The following is a 19,244-nucleotide window of genomic DNA, read 5'->3' as shown; positions in this document are numbered from 1 at the left end:
TGCTGGTGAGGAGCTGCGTTCCTTTGGAGGAGGAGAGGCACTCTGCTTTTTAGAGTTTCCAGTTTTTCTAATCTTTTTTTCCCCCATCTTTGTGGTTTTATCTACCTTTGGTCTTTGATGATGGTGACGTACAGATGGGTTTTTGGTGTGGATGTCCTTTCTGTTTGGTAGTTTTCCTTCTAACAGTCAGGACCCTCAGCTGCAGGTCTGTTGGAGTTTGCTGGAGGTCCACTCCAGACCCTGTTTGCCTGGGTATCAGCAGCAGAGGCTGCAGAACAGCGGATATTGGTGAGCAGCAAATGTTGCTGCCTGATCGTTCCTCTGGAATTTTGTCTTAGAGGAGTACCCAGCCGTATGAGATGTCAGTCTGCCCCTACTGGGGGGTGCCTCCCAGTTAGGCTACTCGGGGTCAAGGACCCACTTGAGGAGGCAATCTGTCCATTCTCAGATCTCCAGCTGCGTGCTGGGAGAACCACTACTCTCTTCAAAGCTGTCAGACAGGGACATTTAAGTCTGAAGAGGATTCTGCTGCCTTTTGTTTGGCTATTACCTACCCCCAGAGGTGGAGTCTACAGAGCAGGCAGACCTCCTTGAGCTGAGGTGGGCTCCACCTAGTTGGAGCTTCCTGGCCGCTTTGTTTACCTACTCAAGCCTCAGCAATGCTGGGCGCCCCTCCCCCAGCCTCGCTGCCGCCTTGCAGTTTGATCTCAGACTGCTGTGCTAGGAATGAGCGAGGCTCCGTGGGCGTAGGACCCTCTGAGCCAGGCCGTATGCCACTTTCATACCCACCTACTGATGTATGGACTTCAGAGTAATGTGGCCTATATTAATTTTCCAGTATTGTTCTTTTGTTTGTTGTTTTTCTTCCTTCTTCCCCTTATTTCCTCTTCATAGGACAGGAAACTTCACAACTTTCTAAAAATGAACTTTCCTAATAACTCCAGACCTACATGCCTAGGGATAAACCATCTTAGCCATCACAGATCAAATGAAACCTGAGACCAGAGACTCATTTTCTTCTAAAATCCTTTCTCCAAAAGATTTTCAAAAAGAAAAGGCGGTAAATGTGAAAGGAAAATATCTTGGGCACCCCAAATCGCTAAGTTAGAAGGAAAATTCAAGCTGGGAACTGTTTAGGGCAAACCTGCCTCCCATTCTATTCAGTGTAACCCCTGTACTCACTGAGATAAATGCACATGTGATTGCCTCCTTTGGAAAGGCTCATCAGAAACTCAAAAGAATACAACGCTTTTTCTCATATCTACCTATGACCTGGAAGCCCCCTCCCTCCTTGAGTTGTCCTGCCTTTCCAGACTGAACCAATTTTCATCTTACATATGTTGATTGATGTCTCATGTCTCTCTAATATGTATAAAATCAAACTGCACTCTAACCACCTTGGTCACATGTCATCAGGACTTCCTGAGGCTGTGTCATGGGTGTGCATCCTTGACTTTGGCAAAATAAACTTTCTAAATCAAGTGAGACCTGTCTCAGATTTTCAGGGTTCACAGATCTTTGACAAAGTTGGCAAGAACACACAACAGGGAAATAAGTCTGTTTCAATAAATAATTTTGGGAAAACTGGATATCCACATGCAGAAGAATGGAATTAGACTCTTTTCTTATACCATATAAAAATTAACTCAAAATAGATCAAAGGCTTAAATGTAAGGCCTGAGACTGTAAAACTGCTAGATGCAACATAGGGAAAAAGCTTCTTGACATTGGTCAGGGCAATTATTTTTGGACATGACCCCAAAAGCATAAACAACAAAAGCAAAAATAGAAAAATTAGATTGCATCAAACTAAAACTGCTGCATAGCAATCGTAACAATCAACAGAATAAAGAGATAACATATGACAGAACATAGAAAACATTTGCAAAGCATATATCTGATAAGAAATTTAGTATCAAAAGTATATAAGAACTCAAATAACTCAATAGCAAGAAAACAAATAATCTGATTTAAAAGTGGCCAAAGGACCTAAATAAATATTTGTCAAGAGAAGACATACAAAAGGCCAAGAAGTATATGAAAAAATGCTCAATATCCCTAATCATATGTGAAGTACAAATTAAAACCACAATGAGATAGTGCCTCATACCTGTTAGAATGGCTATTATCAAAAAGACAATTAGATAGCAAGTGTTAAGGTGAGGATGTAAAGAAAAAGAAAGCTTTGTACACTGTTGACGGGAATGTAAATTCATATAGCCATTGTGGTAAACAGTATGAAGTTTCTTCAAAAAATTATGAAATAGAACTACTATTCGATCCAGCAATCCCATGTCTGCGTATAGAGCCAAAGGAAATGAAGTCAGTATGTTGAAAAGATTTCTGCACTCCCATGTTCATTGAGGCAGTACTCACAATAGTCAAGATATGCAATAAACTTAAGTGTTCATCAACAGGTGAGTGGATAAAGAAAACATGGAATATATACACAATGGAATAGTATTCAGCCTTGAAAAAGAAGAGAATCCTGCTATCTGCAACAACATGGATGAACCTGGAGGACATTATGCCAACTGGCATAAGCCAGGGACAGAAAGACACATTGCATGATCTCACCAATATATGGAATCCAAAAAGTTGAATCCATAGAAGCATGGAGCAGAATGGTGGTTGCCAAAGGTTTGGAGGTAAGAAGATTAAAAAAAATAGAAAAGTTAGATTCTTTTCCTTCTATAAAAGTAGATGTATGCCATCAATGGAATCTATGCCATCAATCTGTTCCATTGATGGCATATATTTTCATTTATAGCTGTAGCACCATATTGTCTTGACTAATTGAAGGTGTGAGCTCTGTAAGTTTATTCTTCAAGACTATTGTGACCTCTTTAATTTCCATATGAATTTTAGAGTCAGCTTGTCCGTTTCTGCAAAGAACACAGTAGGAATTTTGATAGGCATTGCATGGAATCTGTGTATCAATTTAGGGAGTATTGCTGCCATCTTAACAATGTTGGGTCTTCTATTCCAGTAACATGAGGTGTTTTTCCATTATTTTAATTATTTATTTTTATTTCAGTAGTTGTTGGAGTACAGTTGATTTTTGGTTACACGGATAAGTTCTTTAGTGGTGATTTCTGAGATTTTGGTGCACCTATCACTCAGTGTGGGATAAAAGACTACAATGTCTTTCTATTTGTAAAATTTTTCTAAATTTCTTTCAACAATGTATTGCAGTTTTCAGACTATAAACTTTACACTTCTTTTATTAAATGTATTCCTAAGCATTTTATCCTTTTTGATGCTACTATAAATACAATCATTTTCTTAATTTTATTTTCAGATTGTTCATTACAATTGTATAGAAATAAAATTGATTTTACAAATTGATCTTTTATCCTGAATCCTTGATGAACCAATTTATTAGTTCTAATAGTTTGCTGTGCATCCTTTTGGATTTTCTTTATACTAGATTACATCATCTTCAAATAGAGATAGTTTTACTTTCTTTTCAATCTGGATGTTTTTTACCTCATTTTCTTGCCTAATTGCCCAGGATAGAACCTTTAGCACAATATTGAATAAAAGTGGCAAGAGTAGACAACCTTGTTACTGATTTTAGGTAACAGTATATATTGAGGATAAGACGTATAAATCATTTAAATAATTAGAATTATTAATGGGATAAATAATATTAAAGGAATAATATCAATGGCATAGTAGCCATGTTCTGAAAGAGGAAGTAAGGAACTTTCCCAGTGGAAATTTCTGTATGAGCCTTCAATTACCTGTAAAATGGAACAGTAGAGTTCACATCTCATGGGCAGTATCAGAACAAGGTGAAGAGCATGTACTTTTTTTTGAGATACAGTCTCGCTCTGTTGCCCAGGCTGGAGTGCAGTGGCACGATCTCAGCTCACTGCACCCTCCACCTCCTGGATTCAAGCGATTCTTCTCCCTCAGCCTCCCAAGTAGCTGAAATTACAAGCACACACCACTACACGCAGCTAATTTTTTATATTTTTGGTAGAGATGGGATTTCACCATGTTGGCCACGTTGGTCTCGAACTCCTGACCTCAAGTGATCCACCCCCACCTTGACCTCCCAAAATGTTGGGATTATAGGCATCAGCCACCACACCCGACCAGCCGCATGTAACGTTCTTCATCAACTGTCATCTATCCGCAAGATCATGCTGTCTTGGTCCCTTCTTTCATAATTCTTTAAGCCTCAGGTTAGGCGTTACCTCCTCAGGAAATCCCTCCTCACTCTCTTTTTCCCCAGGTGGAGCGGAGTGTCCTCTCTCTGCACACACACTTTTTACTTAGCTGACCTCTGTCACTGTACTAACCACCTTGAAAACCCACTTGAGCCTGTCATCCTCAAAGGCTATTAGCTCCGTTCTCATGCGTGTATCATGTCATCTGGCATAGAGAATTCAGATATTCAAGAAATGTTCATTGAATAAATAGAAAAATTTAACTTTTCATTTTGCAAACAGGGAATGGAGTTCTTCAGATTCTGCCTCTTTCCCAAGCATATATTGTATGTTATTAATGTCTCCATGAAAGAAGTTATATAGGGATTTGTGATTGCAGCTTGGAAATTCCATCTCTGCATCTTTGAGGCATCTTTTACCACAAAGGCCAGGCACTTAGGCACATATGTTATCAGTGGAGCAAATTTTCAAATTTCTTTTTAGTGCCTACATGAGATGGGTGGAAAAGTGGGAGAGAGGGGAAATACTGAGAACTGTGTGATTCTTATGCACTTTCTTTATCAGGAGCCCCTGAAGAGCTCCCTGTTTTTTAAATGTAAGAGAAATGTTGTATATACATCTCCCATTTTTAGTGGCCATGGATCTTTGTCTTTTTTGTTAACTTCAGGGCACGGCTGTGCCTAATCTTCAGGGCAGAAGGGCGGGCTCCTGGGAGTGGAGAAATGTAAATGTTCCTAGACCATGAAGATTTGTCCCTAATCATGGCAGAAAACCAAGAACTGGGGTCTCAGATGACCTAAAGCCACTGTAACCCCAAAGCGACCCAGTGTGAGGCCAAGGGAGCAGAGCAAGCTCCCATCTTCCCTCCTCTGCCCTACCCCTCCCAGTATCACCTCCACTGCTCTGAAATCTAAATAGATCCTTTAGCCTTCTGGCCCAGAAAGAGGAAGGGGAGAACAAATTTCTCTCTGAGAGGCCAGGCCTGGGGGCCTCAGCTTCCTAAAGTGGAAGCCTGAGGTCTGCCAATGTCTTTCCCTCCAGCCTCTCCTGATGCTAAACAGAATGCTAAACAGATCACAGACCCCAAAGTGCACTAATTGTTTTGTCAGAGTTAAGTCACTAGCTACTGTACTTATTGGTGAGGTGGTAATACATAGTAATGGGAAGCCACATTCCCGGTGTCTTTTAAAGAAAACTTAATAGCCAACTTTTGCGTGTGTTTCCCAAAGCAATGCAAACAGATAATTTACCAGAAGAGAAAAATTCAGTTAATATCTTCTGGTGTCATATTCCTTCATTAAATATTGGCATCCTAAATACTTCCAAATTACCGGCCTCTCTTCCTATTCCACATAGAGTTAAAATAATATTTGCCTAAAAGCAATATTTGCCTCCAAAACCATAGGATTGAGAGTCAATACTCCTTGGTAGCTGTCCTAAAGAAGTATACAGAAAAAGATTGCTATCCCCAGTACTAAATCATAGCCCAGGCATGAGTCCAGCAGTTGAGAAACTCACATTGGAGTCTTTGGGCTTGGATACTGCTAACGCAGGAAATGCCAGGCCCCAACTCCTTTCTGTCTTCTGTGCTCGACTAATTTCTTACCATTAACATGTAGGAGAGGCTTTTATGGCAGGAGGAGGAAGGAGCAGAGCAAAAAGGAGGAAGAGGAAGATGCAGGGGCTGGCATGACCTCTGGTTCCTGCCCTGGGTCCTAAGGAACTCAGGATTCCTTTCTCCCCACCACTGCCAAGCCCATCCAGGTGGGGGCCTCCTTGGGACAGAAGCTTGGGAATTCTTCGCAACCACACTTTGGGGGTGGGCAAGGGTGTCCCTCTCTGAACTTTTCTAAGTGGCTCCATCAACAGCTGGAGTGAAATAGATGCCAGAACATAGGAAGAGAATCAGGGGACAACTGCTGATGACAAGCTGGTCTATGGGCATGTGAGAGGTTCCCTCACTGGATACACTTAGAAATAACTAGGGGTGTTTTGAAACAGAGGAACCAGGTCCTAGTGTTGCTTTGATAGGAGATTATATATATTGCATGTAAATAACAAAATTATATTATGTTAGGTTATGTTATATAATATCATACCATATCACATCACACATTATATTATCCTCTATTACATTTAAGCTTATGTAGGAATGGAACTTTGTATCTTAGAATGGATAGGCACTGAATATTGATGAATGAATAGTTAATGTTTTACGACACTTGGTATAGTCCCTTGCATATAGAAAGAGACAATGGATGAGTTTATCCTTTTGCATAGTTTCACATTTTAAAAAATTGCTACTTATTACAATTCACATAACAAGTTGCCGATAAAATGCCAGTTTTTATAAAGCATCTCCAGCATGGAACTGTTTTAACTAAAGTTTGTGTACATCTCTTGGTTACATACTATCCTTTACATTCTTTTATTTCACTTTCTTTTGTTACTAAAATGAGCAAAAGTTATACAAATTAATTTTGCTGGCTACATAAAACAGCTGGTTTTCATAAATGAAAATATAATTGAATGCTTTTTTGCAGCTAATCAGCATTCTCTTTTCTTTATAATTATTTCTTCATTAAGACTGGGGTACTATGAGAACATCTTACTATAGAATGATTACACCCAAGTTCAGGTGTAAGAATTTCTTCCTCCAGCAGGGAGGATGCCGTGGCCATCCTCCTTTTTCCCAGGGCAATGTAGTGTGGTCAAGTGTTGCCCTACCTAGCCTTTAGCCTCCCTTTACTCATAGCTGCCATATTATTTTCCACCTGCAGAATCAGTTTCACCTTAGGCCAGAGGAATCTTATATTCAGGGACTCTTCCTTGAGTCACTTGGGTAGCCAGAATTGACAATAGGTTTCTGCTTTGTTTCGTCTAATCTAAATTCTTCCTCTGGAACCTGCCTTGGACTCCAGTTTCCTTGGAGGGACTGGTATCCTGTCCCCAGTTCCCAGGACCATGACAAGAGAAGTCCATGACCAAAGTGCCCCTAAGTTTCCTATCCCAGGTCTCTTCTCCGCTCCCTCCACACTACTGCCTAGAATTTCCTAATTCTGCCTAGAGGTCAAGACCTTGATTCACTCCCCTTGCTTGGCCCTCCTCCTCCTCCACACTATGGCTGGTTGTTACCAGATCTGTGGGTTCTGTGTTTGACCTGCTGGACCTGCCACCCTCTCAATGCATTCCTCAAATCTGTCTGCTCAGTGGGTGAGCTTGGTCTAGATAGTCCCAGTTTAGCAGGAGCAGGAACCTCTTGGGGAACCTGTTAAAAATGTAGATCCCTGGGTTCATCCCAGAAATTATAATTCAGTAACTCTGCAGTGGGACTAGGTAATGTTTTACATTCTCATTCAAGGTGCCATCCTGGGAGCCTACTTTACAAAACACTCACCCGGTGCAGGCTTCAGGCCAGTTGGCGCCAGCTGCTGAAATGCATGGACCTGGTCTTAGGAGCAAGCAGGAGCCATACAGCATTTATTGATGCTGAAGCACAAAGAACACAAGGCTCTTTGGGCCCAAGTCATTCCCTGACATTAAGATAGGGTCCTAGGAAGTGGTGAGAGCTTGCCTCCCAAATAGGCATCCTTTTGACCTGGTTTAATTTTATGCATTTCAAGAGAGAGAACAGCGGTTTACAAATCTGGCTACCCATTATAATGACCTGTGGTATGCCATGAAAATATAGATTCAAGGGCCACAGCCCAACGTTATTACGAACCATCTTCTCCAGAATGGAGTCTGGGAGTTTCTATTTTACCCCATGCTGCAGATAAATGTGATGCAAACCTGTGATTGCTCTGTCAGCCATTAGAGACTAAAAGGATATTCATATTCCTTCCTGGTACCTGAGATTCATCCCTTTGACCTGAAGGTTATTTTATTATTCTGTTAATATGCAAACATTCTTGGGAAAGAGGAACCCTTCAAATACCAAAGAATAGTAATAATTGATGTTAAACACAACCACGTTGTTTTTGGGAGGGTGTTTAGGTATGTTCCAACAATGTCTCAGTTGGAACCATGAGGCTACTTAGTTCTACATTCCTTTGTACATACTTCTTAGCACTGTTCCCTGCCATCCCCACAATTACTTTCATGTAGAATTCTTCTTTTTACATAACACGCCCCTCCACCAGACTACACTGTTAAGAATAGAGAGCGTCAAATTTGTCTCTGTATCTTAACATTATCCAGCATGTAAGTGTTCAAAAAATTGTGGCTTAATAAGCAGAAGATAGTAGCTTTATTCTCACATCTTAATCCAGTGGGCTTATCAGGCCTTTTTCTCTGAACAGGTTTTAATAGAGAATTAAAGAAGAATGAGAACATAAGAACCCTGGGATGCCATCTGTCAATGGGGCAAGAGAAAGCTGAAGACATATTAGACAGATGTCAAATGGTCATATTTTTTCTAGGTCAGCTCTGGAAAGGGTGAGCCTGTCTCATATCAGGACATCTCCTAGGCTTCCCATAATATAGGTCTTTGCAGGGCTTGCTCTGGAGGCACGCAGAAGAGGTAACTCCCTGTGGGTTTTGGTTTTGGTAGTGCCTAAATGCTTGCTTCCCCTAGATATTCAGTCTGCTGACATCTAAGTAAGAACAAGCTGCTGATAAAATGAGAGGACATTAAATTTTGATGGAGTATCTAGAGATTGAGACACCACACCCAGAGGAAGAGTAGAGAATTTGCTTTCATACTTGGTAGAATTAACATTTTTGCCCTGCAAGAAATAGGAAATAGAGCAGTGGACAGGCATCAAGGGACAATAGGAAAAGGAAAGACACTTAAAGGAGAAGGTTGGACAGTGTGCCAAAGTCACCCTCCATCCAACTTACTCTTCTGTTTATCGCCAACCTAAAGAAGGTTGTGCTTCGGTAAAGGGTAGGGACTCTCCCTGGTGGGATAATTTTAAATTGACAGCAAGGGTAACAGAATAATGGGTTGATGAGCAGAAGACCTTATTTGATGAGGATGTTTGGAATTTATATTCGGATATCAAATGCCATGATCATCTAGACAAACTCATATACTAGCTCATACCTTTAAAAAGGGATGGTTGAGTTTGTCTGGTGAGATTTACCCTTGATGATACTAATTATACTGGTAGCATGAAAACTGGTTGCATTAAAAAACGCAAAATCAGAACCTAGAATTAAGGTGTGACTTTGTTCTTTACACATTAAATATTGCAGGATCTTGCAACACATCTTTCCTAACATACTACATGCTGCAATATGTCAACACAAACTGAAGAACAAATGTAGGACTGCGTGTAAATCTCAGTTACATATTGACTTTCCCACTTTTCTGTTTGTTCATGTGTCTAAGGGTTAAAGGAACCTCTCTTGACATCAAGTACCAAATCCTCCTTAAAGTGGAGGTACTCTGGCCTTGTATCAGGGGCTCATTCCTTCTGACTCACCCAGGTTTTTCCAGTTCACAGTCTGGTTTATTATAAGGGCCAGACTTTTTTTTTTCTGAACTCTTTGTGGCAAGTTGAATTAACAAATTCCTTTATGCCCCATCTTGCTCATCAGTGGAGGATCTGATATCAAAAAGATTCCACCGAGCTGGATCATTTCTTCCAGATAGCAAAGGGAGCAACCACGGACAAGTAGTGTACTCTGATGTTTAGAGCCATGTGGCTGACCTAGGGCAGGGCAAAGACAAAAGCACTGCATTGGGGGGTGGATGAGATTTTCAGCTATTAAGAAAGGGCCAGGATAATAAAAGTAACCCTGGCTATCTCTAGAAAAGTAATGCATGTCTTTGAGAGGTATATGGATTCACAGGAAACCTAGTCACATAGACCAGCCTATGGTGGGGAGACAGAATTGGAATTTTAGTTCCACATTTATCCCGTTTTGGAGACTAGAGCTTATCTGGCTCTGAAGAAAATGAGTAGAGAACAGCTGAGGAGGTCAGGTGTCCGTTTTGCTACCTAAGGCAACTGCTCCACTGAGATGAATCCCCCTCCCCCCACCATCTCAGGAGCACCAGCTCATAACCTGCTTCAACTGCAGGCTTGGGCATCCTACAGCATATAAATATGCTGAGTTGCAATCGTCTTTAAGAAACAAACATTTTCTCGTATTCATCTTTGAGTCATTTCCTCAGTGAAGTCTCTCCCCAGACCCAGTGTATCTTTTCATCCCTGCAGTTTTGTCATCCTATGTTTATTCCTGTCACTTTTTGATTAGAATACTTGCTTCTACCAAATTATAAACTCCACAAAGATGGGGATTGTGCCTGGTTTTGCTCACTATTCTGTTCCTAGCATCTAGCCTTTAGGAGGTACCCAATAAATAACTGTTGTATCAGAGGATGAATAAATGTGGACAGCCCCTGGTTTTCCAAGGGAGGAGATGGGGTCACCAGACTTGAATAGGGGTCTACCTATGGGCAGGCCGAGCCCAGAGGGAGAGACATCTCAAGGTAGGTCAGTGTCTGAGAGGCACAAATTCCTTGAGAAGGTGTTTGTGCCAGGGCCTTCCTTTATGAAGCCAAATTAGCCAGAATTTCAAGTTTACTTTTCTATTCTGGAATACCCCTGACATGTGTTTCACTCTTCAGAACTTGTCATTATGTAGAGTCCTGCCTTTGTGGGCTGATCAGGCAGGACGGCAATGAGAGACAAGGGCCAGGTCCAGACCTTTCACCTTTCTGAAAGTCTCATCAGAGAAGGGGCTGGAAGAGCACTGGTCCCCAAAGGGGAGTAGGAGGCAGAATGGCTCCTGGTCAGTGGCTGTTGCATGAAGAGGCACAGAAGATGACTCCAGTCAGATTCAAATCCTCCAATGTATCACATAGGTTAGGAAGGTTTCTCTCTTCCAGACCAAAGTAAGGTAAGGCCCCTCATCAAATTAGGTTGTAATTTTAGAACCCCTACATTGCAAAGTGTTTTTCATAGTAGTATTTCAATCAAAAATGTTTTGTTTGATACAATTATATTCTCACCTTTAATAAAATTATTTACTCAGCAAAACTTCTGAAAAGTAGAAAAGCTTGAATTGATTTATCCATCCATCCATTCACTGATTTATTCAGCAAAAATATTCTGACAAAGCATCTACAGGACTTGCAGGATCAAGAGGAACCATGCAAACAACTGATTACATGATGAGACATAATAGAAACAACACTGCAGCATTGAACAACCAAACACTGGAGGGGAATGAAAATGAGCACCTAATTCTGACCCCTTTCATGACACCTGCATTTGAAGATGAAAAGTTGAATGTTTCTGTACAACTTTGCAAGTTTTGTTTCATTTTAGATTTAGCCTTGTGAAAATTAGAAAATAGATTAATATTCTCTATCTCTTCAGAAGGCAAATAAGAGGAAGGTGGAGTTTAATTCTGGCAACCAAGGAATAAGGGAAGCAAATACCCAGAATTGGAGCAATTGTAGGATATAAAGACCACCCAAGTATAAGGATCAATTAGTCACCTCTCTTGAACTAAGGTTTCAACATAAATCAAATCCAAATTCATACAAAATAAAAACATTTTACTATCATTAGAAGACTTACAGAGGTTCCTGCAGTTATGACAAAGCAAAAGATTACTTTATAGAAATTTATTTTTAAAATCATAATTTTATGGCTAAACATGCCATTTGGGGTTGGCTCCACTGTAGACAGAAAAGCAATAATGAGTATTAGTAAAGAAAATGCTCAGAAGAAAAGGGAAGTGAGCTGTGGAAGGAGGGATGTTGAATTTAGAGCCAGAAAACCTAGTTCATACTTTAGTTTTGTCATTTATTGGCCCCATGTCTTTGGAAAAGTCACTTAACCTCTCTGAACCCAATTTCCTCTCCCATTGAAAGGGGAAAATAAAAATACCTACATGACAGGATTGTTTTGGTATAAAGTAGCATAACACATGTGAAGATACTTTGAAACCTAAAGCCACTTTACTAATTATGATAACTATTCATTGAAAAATAACTCATGTTAAAACTCTACTGTCAAATAAAACATTAATTATATAAAAGCCTACTAAAATCACTGCAATCAGACTTCACGATGATAATCCATAAACAAATGAACTTCGTAGCACTATTATATGGTGTTTAAATAATAATTATGTTCTATGTCCTTCCTAAGGCATATGTTTATATTAGTCTATTAATGGTTCTCTGGATCATTAAACCTGTGAGATATTCCTTCACAAATCATGATCATAGAGAAATACTGCATGCTCTATCCCAACTTAAGAGTGTCATCGAGTTTTTGACTAATTAAAAACCTCAAAGAACAAAACACCCCAAAAAGCCAAAGCAATCCTGATTGAAAAGTACAAAGCCAGAGGTATCACAATACCTGATTTCAAAATATACTACAAAGCTATAGTAACCAAATCTGCATAGTACTGGCATAAAAATAGACATATAGACCAATGGAACATAATAGAGAACCCAGAAATAAATCTACACATTTACAGCCAACATGTTCTCGACAAAGGCACCAAGAGCATACACTGGGGAAGGGACAGTCTTCAAGAAATGGTGCTGGGAAAACTGGACATATATATGCAGAAGAAGGAAACTAGACCCCAATCTCTCATCATACACAAAAATCAAATCAAAATGGATTAAAGACTTAAATCTAAGGCCTGAAACTATGAAACTACTAGAAGAAAACATTGGGGGAAATTCTCCAAGACATGGTTCTGGACAAAGAGTTTTTGTGCAAGACCTAAAAAGCACAGGCAACAAAAGCCAAAACAGACAAGTGGGATTATATCATGCTAAAAAGCTTCTGCATGGCAAACAACAACAACAAATCAACAAAGGGAAGATAAAACTCACAGAATGGGAGAATATTTGCAAACTATCCTTCTGACAAGGAATTAATAACCAGAATATACAAGAAGCTCAAATAACTCAATAGCAAAAAGAAAAAAAAACCTAAAATTAAAAAAATTAGCAAAGGGTGTGAATAGAAAATTTTCAAAAGAAGACATACAAATGGCCAACAGGCATATGAAAAAATGCTCAATATCACCAACCATCAGAGAAATACAAATCAAAATGACAATAAGCACCATGCAGCCATAAAAAAGAATGAGATCATGTCCTTTGCAGTGACATGGATGGAGCTGGCAGCCATTAGCCTTAGCAAACCAATGCAGGAACAGAAAACCAAATACTGCAAGTTCTAACTTATAAGTGGGAGCTAAATGGTGAAAACACATGGTCATATAGAGGAGAACAACACACAGGGGCCTATCAGAGGGTGAAGGGTGGAATGAGGGAGAGAATCAGGAAAAATAACTAATGGGTACTAGGCTTAATACCTGGGTGATGAAGTAATTTATACAAGAAACCCCCATGACACACGTTTACCAATGTAACAAACCTGCACATCCTGCACATGTACCCCTGAACTTAAAATATAAGTTAGAAAAACATACATAATTACATTTAATTTTTTTTTAAAAAAACTATGTCATCTCACCCTAGTTAAAATGGCTTTTATCAAAAAGATAGGAAGTAACAGATGCTGGCAAGGAAGTGGAGAAAGAGGAACCCTCATGCACTGTTGGTGGAAATATAAACTAGTATAGCCATTATGGATAACTGTATGGAGGTTCTCAAAAAACTAACAATAGAACTACTATATAATCCAACAGCTCCACTTCTGGGTATATATCCAAAAGGAAGGAAATCAATATATTGAAGGTATATCTAAACTTCCATGTTTTTTGTGGTAATACTCAAAATTGCCAAAATATGGAATCAATCTAGGTGTCCATCAATGGAAGAATGGATAAAGAAAATGTGATATATATATACAAGGGAATATTATTCAGCTGAAAAAAGAATGAAATCCTGTCATTTGCAGTAACGTGGATAAAACTGGAGGTCATTACACTAACTAAAATAAGCCATACACAGAGAGACAAATATTGCATTTTCTCAGTGACATATGGGAGCTAAAAAAGTGGATCTCATAAAAATAAAGAGAAGATTGGTGGGTACAAAAGTGCAGTTAGATAGAAAGAATAAGCCCTAGCATGTAATAGATTAGTAGGATGACTATAGTTAACAATAATAATTGATTGTATATTTCAAAATAGCTAGAAGAGAATAATTTTAATGTTTCTAGTATAAAGAAAAGATAAATATTTAAGGTAATAGCCCAATTACACTGATTTGATCTTTACAAATTATATGAATGTATTAAATTATCACATGTGCTTCAGATAATATGTACATCTATTTAAAAAATAAAACCTTTGAGGAATCACGATAATTGTAACAGTGTTATTTTAAACTTGTTGCAGCATAGAACTCTGTCTACAAGCATTAGCTTCAGTTCTGAAAAATATATTTCATAAATTTTTAAATATAGATTTTTCTTAAAACAAAAGCAACCACAACAAAACCAATGACCACTCCTAAAACCAGAGTGTTAAAATAATTTTAGAGTGTTCCAATCAATTCAGCTTTATCAAAATGATGAGTAAATTCTAACTGTTCTGTAAACTTCTGTTTTTCTCCATCACTAAGTGTGTTTGTAGTACTGTCTGAACTTGACTTAAGCCAGGAAAGCAATGTATCAGGAAACATTCTGTATTTTTCAGATGACAAACTGAGCCACTAAGAGCTAAAGAGACTTGTCCAAGTTTCCATAGCTAGTAGGTGGTGACTCTGGGATTCTAAATCAAGCTATGTACTCTACAGCCAGTGAATGATCTGAGGAGAAACCAAAATGTGTTTCACAATGTGGCCTTCAGGAATACTCATGTCATTAGTTAGAATTGCTTCCCATCCTTTCAAACACTAGTTTAAAAGAAACCCTTGAGGATTGGTGAGCAGATTCAATGTGGCCATTAATGGTTCAAACTTTTTATTGTAACACAGAAAATAAAGAGTTGTCAGTTGTCTTATCCTACCTAGGCATTGCGTTAGATCTTCTCAGACTCTACTGATGTATAATAGCCATAATTTTATTGTTTTATAGATGAATACAAGACTCATTTAACCTCAACCCACAACCTGATTAATATTACTAGCACATATAAATGCATAACTCATAGTTCTCTATTACATTAGACCATGAACCACTGCTTTTGATCTCTTCTGTACTAGCTAAGATATGATGTCAAGAACTGATTAAATAAGCAGTCCCTTTAAAAGTTGAGCAGTTGCGGTCAGGCGTGGTGGCTCACGCCTGTAATCCCAGCGCTTTGGGAGGCCAAGGCAGGCGGATCACGAGACCATCCTGGCTAACACGGTGAAACCCCGTCTCTACTAAAAATACAAAAAATTAGCCGGGCGTGGCGGCGGGCGCCTGTAGTCCCAGCTACTCGGGAGGCTGAGGCAGGAGAATGACGTGAACCCAGGAGGCGGAGCTTGCAGTGAGCCGAGATTGGGCTACTGCACTCCAGCCTGGGCGACGAGTGAGACTCCGTCTCAAAAAAAAAAAAACAAAAAAACAAAAAAACAAAAAACGTTGAGCAGTTGCACAGTAAACCAGTTTGTGTCGTGGAATTACTTATCTTGAGAAGACTCAAATGATCTTACCTTCATTTGAGTCTTCCTTCTCTGGAATGGCTTTTTGTTTTATAAACCTGAGTTTTGCTTTTACTAAATCGCAGGTTAGGAAAAGAGAAATGTGTATCTACCTTGATCTCACTAATTCTCTCCAAATCCTACCAATTTTGACATTTTAGTAGCTTTATAAAAGATGTTTATATTTATAAAGTAAGAATCAATGGAGAAGTGTGATAATGTGTAGAGAATCTAGTTTCAACAAGCTTATAGGGAATTCAAAACTATTCTGATACAGTCTAATTCCACAAAATGTAAACTTCTTGCTATGATAGAGAGGTTTACCGTATTTGCTTGGGGGCTCAGAAGAAAATCAGTTTTTACAAAACAAACATTTTTATATAATTTTTTTTAGTTTCTAAAATTGTAGCTCCAGTGAAAGTGTGTTACATCATCCTTCTATTGAATCTGTATTGTCAGATTGTCCTAGTACAGTTTGATGTGTATGTGTGTGTGCATTAATCCTGTGTTCTTAGTGTTTCTGATTATTATGCATTATCCAGGTGAGTTTCTGCTGTTATCTTATTTTTTTAAAGCACTAAGCTGTTGCTGGTTTTAGTTATTGGGAGCTATAAAACGAGAAGGTTCTAGGTGGACAGTATGGACAGGCAGTGAAACTTGCCATTCTGAATAAAGTTAAACTGGATGTGTGAGAATACAAAAGGTAAATTGTGTTGCCTGGAGAGTTAGTTACACTGTGGGTTCAACGTCTCCATAGGATAGTTTTCTTTCCCTAAAGAATGACAACTCACTACTAAATAAATGGGGGATTGTGAACATATTTGTTACACAGGCCTTCTTCGAAACAAGAATTTTGTTTAATACTAGAGAATAGTTTCAACGTAAATAATTTTCCTTACAATGGTAGGTTGTAACTTTAACAAATAGAATTAACGTTCGAATGCTATTTATTATTATAGCCTAATTCCTTCTTCATATGTACTGAGGATTGTGCTTAAACTGGAATTCTAGAAAAAAAAATTATCACCAAAGACCCACTCTTAAGTACTAGCAAGTTATCCCATTTCTTTCATGCATAAAGTGACGTTTACTGTGAATGACAGGTTTTTCATTTGTACTCCTTCCTCAAATGTTTCTTTTTCTTTATGTAAAGTTCACGTTTGTCACCTCCATACCAGGAGGAAATTTAGTGAGTCATCTACCCTGAACACTCTTTTACAGACTTTAAAATAAAGATCCACATGTACTTCAGCTTATAGGACAGATCCAATAAATGCAACCTTGACTCATGGAAGAAATCTAACCGTCGAAAAATAAACCCACACCAGGATCTTCTCGGTTATCCCGGACCCAGGAAAGAGGGAGCAGGGACCGGGCTTCCAGGCTTCACTCCTGAAGGACAGCTGGACATCTCAGCCCCACCTGGGAGGATGCTTTGGTCTACTTCTCAGGTTGCCGCCTGACGATTGGTGGCTGGCCTGGAAGGGAGGGTCCGCAGGAAACGCGACACTGGGGATGTTGCCCCTATCACATGATGGAAATTTCCACTCTTTAGAAAGGCGAAAAGAAAAGAAAGAAGGGTCTCTCCATCCATCCCTTTCTGATACTTTCCCTGAATCCCAGTCTGGAAAGGGTAGTAAAAGAGGCGGGTGAGTGAATTTTTTTTTGTATTTCCTGTTAGACTTGAGACTTGTCAGTGTCCAAACTTGCAGCTGGATCCCAGCCTATCGGATGGGTGCTTGTGTGTATGCACGGGGGACATCCACACGTGTGTAGCCCGGTCTCTCAATCATCTGGGGCTTATGTCTGGGGCTCTTCATGACATGCTCATAGTTCCTAATTCTTATTATTTTCCAAACATTCACGCTTTGGGTGGGTTATTGCAGGCTAATGATTCGGTTGACTAGAAATAACGTAAACTAGGGCACATGGAGGGAAGAGACTGATTGGGCGGGCTCATGTGTGACTTCTTTTCAAGGAGAAGCGGTTGTGCCAAGGTAGCCTATTCCAGGAGGGCTGGGGTATGGGGCACCTCCGCCTCCCGCACTGGGATTCCCTGGGCTGTTGGATTTCGAGTTGGTTGTATTGGGACTGCGTTCCGTGGCCGCGCCGCCTGCCTGGCTGAGAGGCCCGACTTCCCCCGCGGGAGCTGGCTCCGCGACCGCCCGGGATCCTGCTGGCAAGGTGTTACCCGAGTCCCTGGACCCGCGCCCGCGTCCTCAGGTCGGGGACACTGGGTGGAAGGCTTAAAATAGAACTGTCGTCTCTGATAGCTGGGTCGCCCCAGAGACCAGCATGATTCCCCGGGCGGGGTACTCTGACCTGGGGAGCCCCCAAGGAGTCTCTTTCAAGGGAGAAGGCGAGAGCAGAGCTGGATGTGGGCCCCTGGTCTCTGGGCGGTGGGCGAGTCTGAAAACTGCGCCAGCGGTTCCGAGGGCGGCTTACCGCGCGGTCGGATTGCCCGGCCTGCTGCGCGCTGGAGTGAAGGGCAGGGCGGTGCAGAAATGCGAACGGGGACGGATAGTGGGGTCGCGGCAACCGAGCTAAGAGAAGCCTAGGGAGGAGGGGCAGAAGGCGGGAATTGATTACAGGTTAGAGCTGATGGAGGAAAAATTGAGAGAAGAGCGAATGAAGGAAGAAAGTGAGACGGGGGAGAGGGAACCCGGACCCGGGAAGCCCCGAGAAGCGTAAGCCGGGAGCACCCTTGAGTCCAGGAGAGGTGGCGAGCGCGGCACACCAGCTGTGCGCCCAGGCAGCGCGCGGTGAGGTACTCTTCATCTAGCGGTGGTACAGGTGGACGCTGCGCTCTGGGCCAGGGCAGGTGCCGGTTGTGGGGGAAAACGGCGAATCTCCCAGCTCCTCTTTGTGATCCAGCAGGCAGAGATGGAAGATTGCCCTTACTTTGAGCACCAGGACTGACCCTGGAATGCTCACCGGGCTGCTGACTTGGAGGAAAAGGGGTGAACTAAGTTAGGAAACTCAGGGATACGTGGTCGCGGGTGTGCCAGGGCATTTGCAGAGGAGTGCAGGAGGCAGTGATGCGGGCACTTGTGAAACTTGTGAACTTGAGCACTTGTGAATCTCCCGGCTAGGGCCGGGACAGGTTGGCGCTTGTCTATTTCTCAGAGTAAAAGCTGCATCTCTACCTGTCTCAGGGAGATATTAAATGCCGAGGTCTTAAATGCACAGTGTGAAGGTAGTAGGAGTGGCTCTAGAGCAATAAGCCCATCCTGGCAGGCACTTCCCGCAGACTCTCCCTAGCCCAGAGCCCCATCCTCCAAGGCTAAAGGACCCACTGCTTGGTTATCCACTTAGTTGTGCGGACGGGGGCGGGTGGGCAGGCAGTTTCTCACCTTAAAGGAAGCGGAAAGAGGCCAGAGCTTCAACAGTGGATGGCCTGTTCCCGATTTCTAGCTATCCTACAGCCATCCTTTTTTGCTTCTGGGTAGCTGTGACATAATCATTAGGGCTAAAATGTGTTATGTTGTAAAGAGAGCATCCTACACATAGATCTCAATTTCCAGGGCCTAGCAGGGGGT

The 19,244-nt window shown here is 40.9% G+C and overlaps 1 protein-coding gene across 1 annotated transcript in view, besides 2 other annotated features; it reads left to right on the top strand.

Annotated features, from left to right (window-relative positions):
• Nucleotides 10,885-11,071: a silencer, noted in NCBI's record as "fragment chr12:47232393-47232579 (GRCh37/hg19 assembly coordinates)". NCBI's record gives its function as "represses an EF-1alpha promoter that drives an FKBP-Casp9 reporter gene in an ReSE screen in K562 erythroleukemia cells {active_cell/tissue: K562}" and the evidence as "EXISTENCE:reporter gene assay evidence [ECO:0000049][PMID:32094911]".
• SLC38A4 (solute carrier family 38 member 4) overlaps nt 17,250-19,244 on the top strand; it is a 67,671-nt gene continuing 65,676 nt past the window's right edge. Inside the window, exon 1 of the mRNA XM_005268997.3 lies at nt 17,250-17,354. The gene's annotated coding sequence lies outside the window, so the exon portion shown is untranslated. The remainder of the gene's footprint in view (nt 17,355-19,244) is intronic.
• Nucleotides 17,341-18,149: an enhancer, noted in NCBI's record as "H3K4me1 hESC enhancer chr12:47225315-47226123 (GRCh37/hg19 assembly coordinates)". NCBI's record gives its function as "activates a minimal SCP1, AML or CMV promoter by ChIP-STARR-seq in naive H9 embryonic stem cells {active_cell/tissue: H9 hESC(naive)}" and the evidence as "EXISTENCE:reporter gene assay evidence [ECO:0000049][PMID:30033119]".

This window comes from Homo sapiens, chromosome 12 (genome assembly GCF_000001405.40).
Source record: "Homo sapiens chromosome 12, GRCh38.p14 Primary Assembly".
Lineage (NCBI taxonomy): Eukaryota > Metazoa > Chordata > Mammalia > Primates > Hominidae > Homo > Homo sapiens.
The sequence above is the reverse complement of the archived record's forward strand: the minus strand, read 5'-3'. Positions and strand labels throughout refer to the sequence as shown.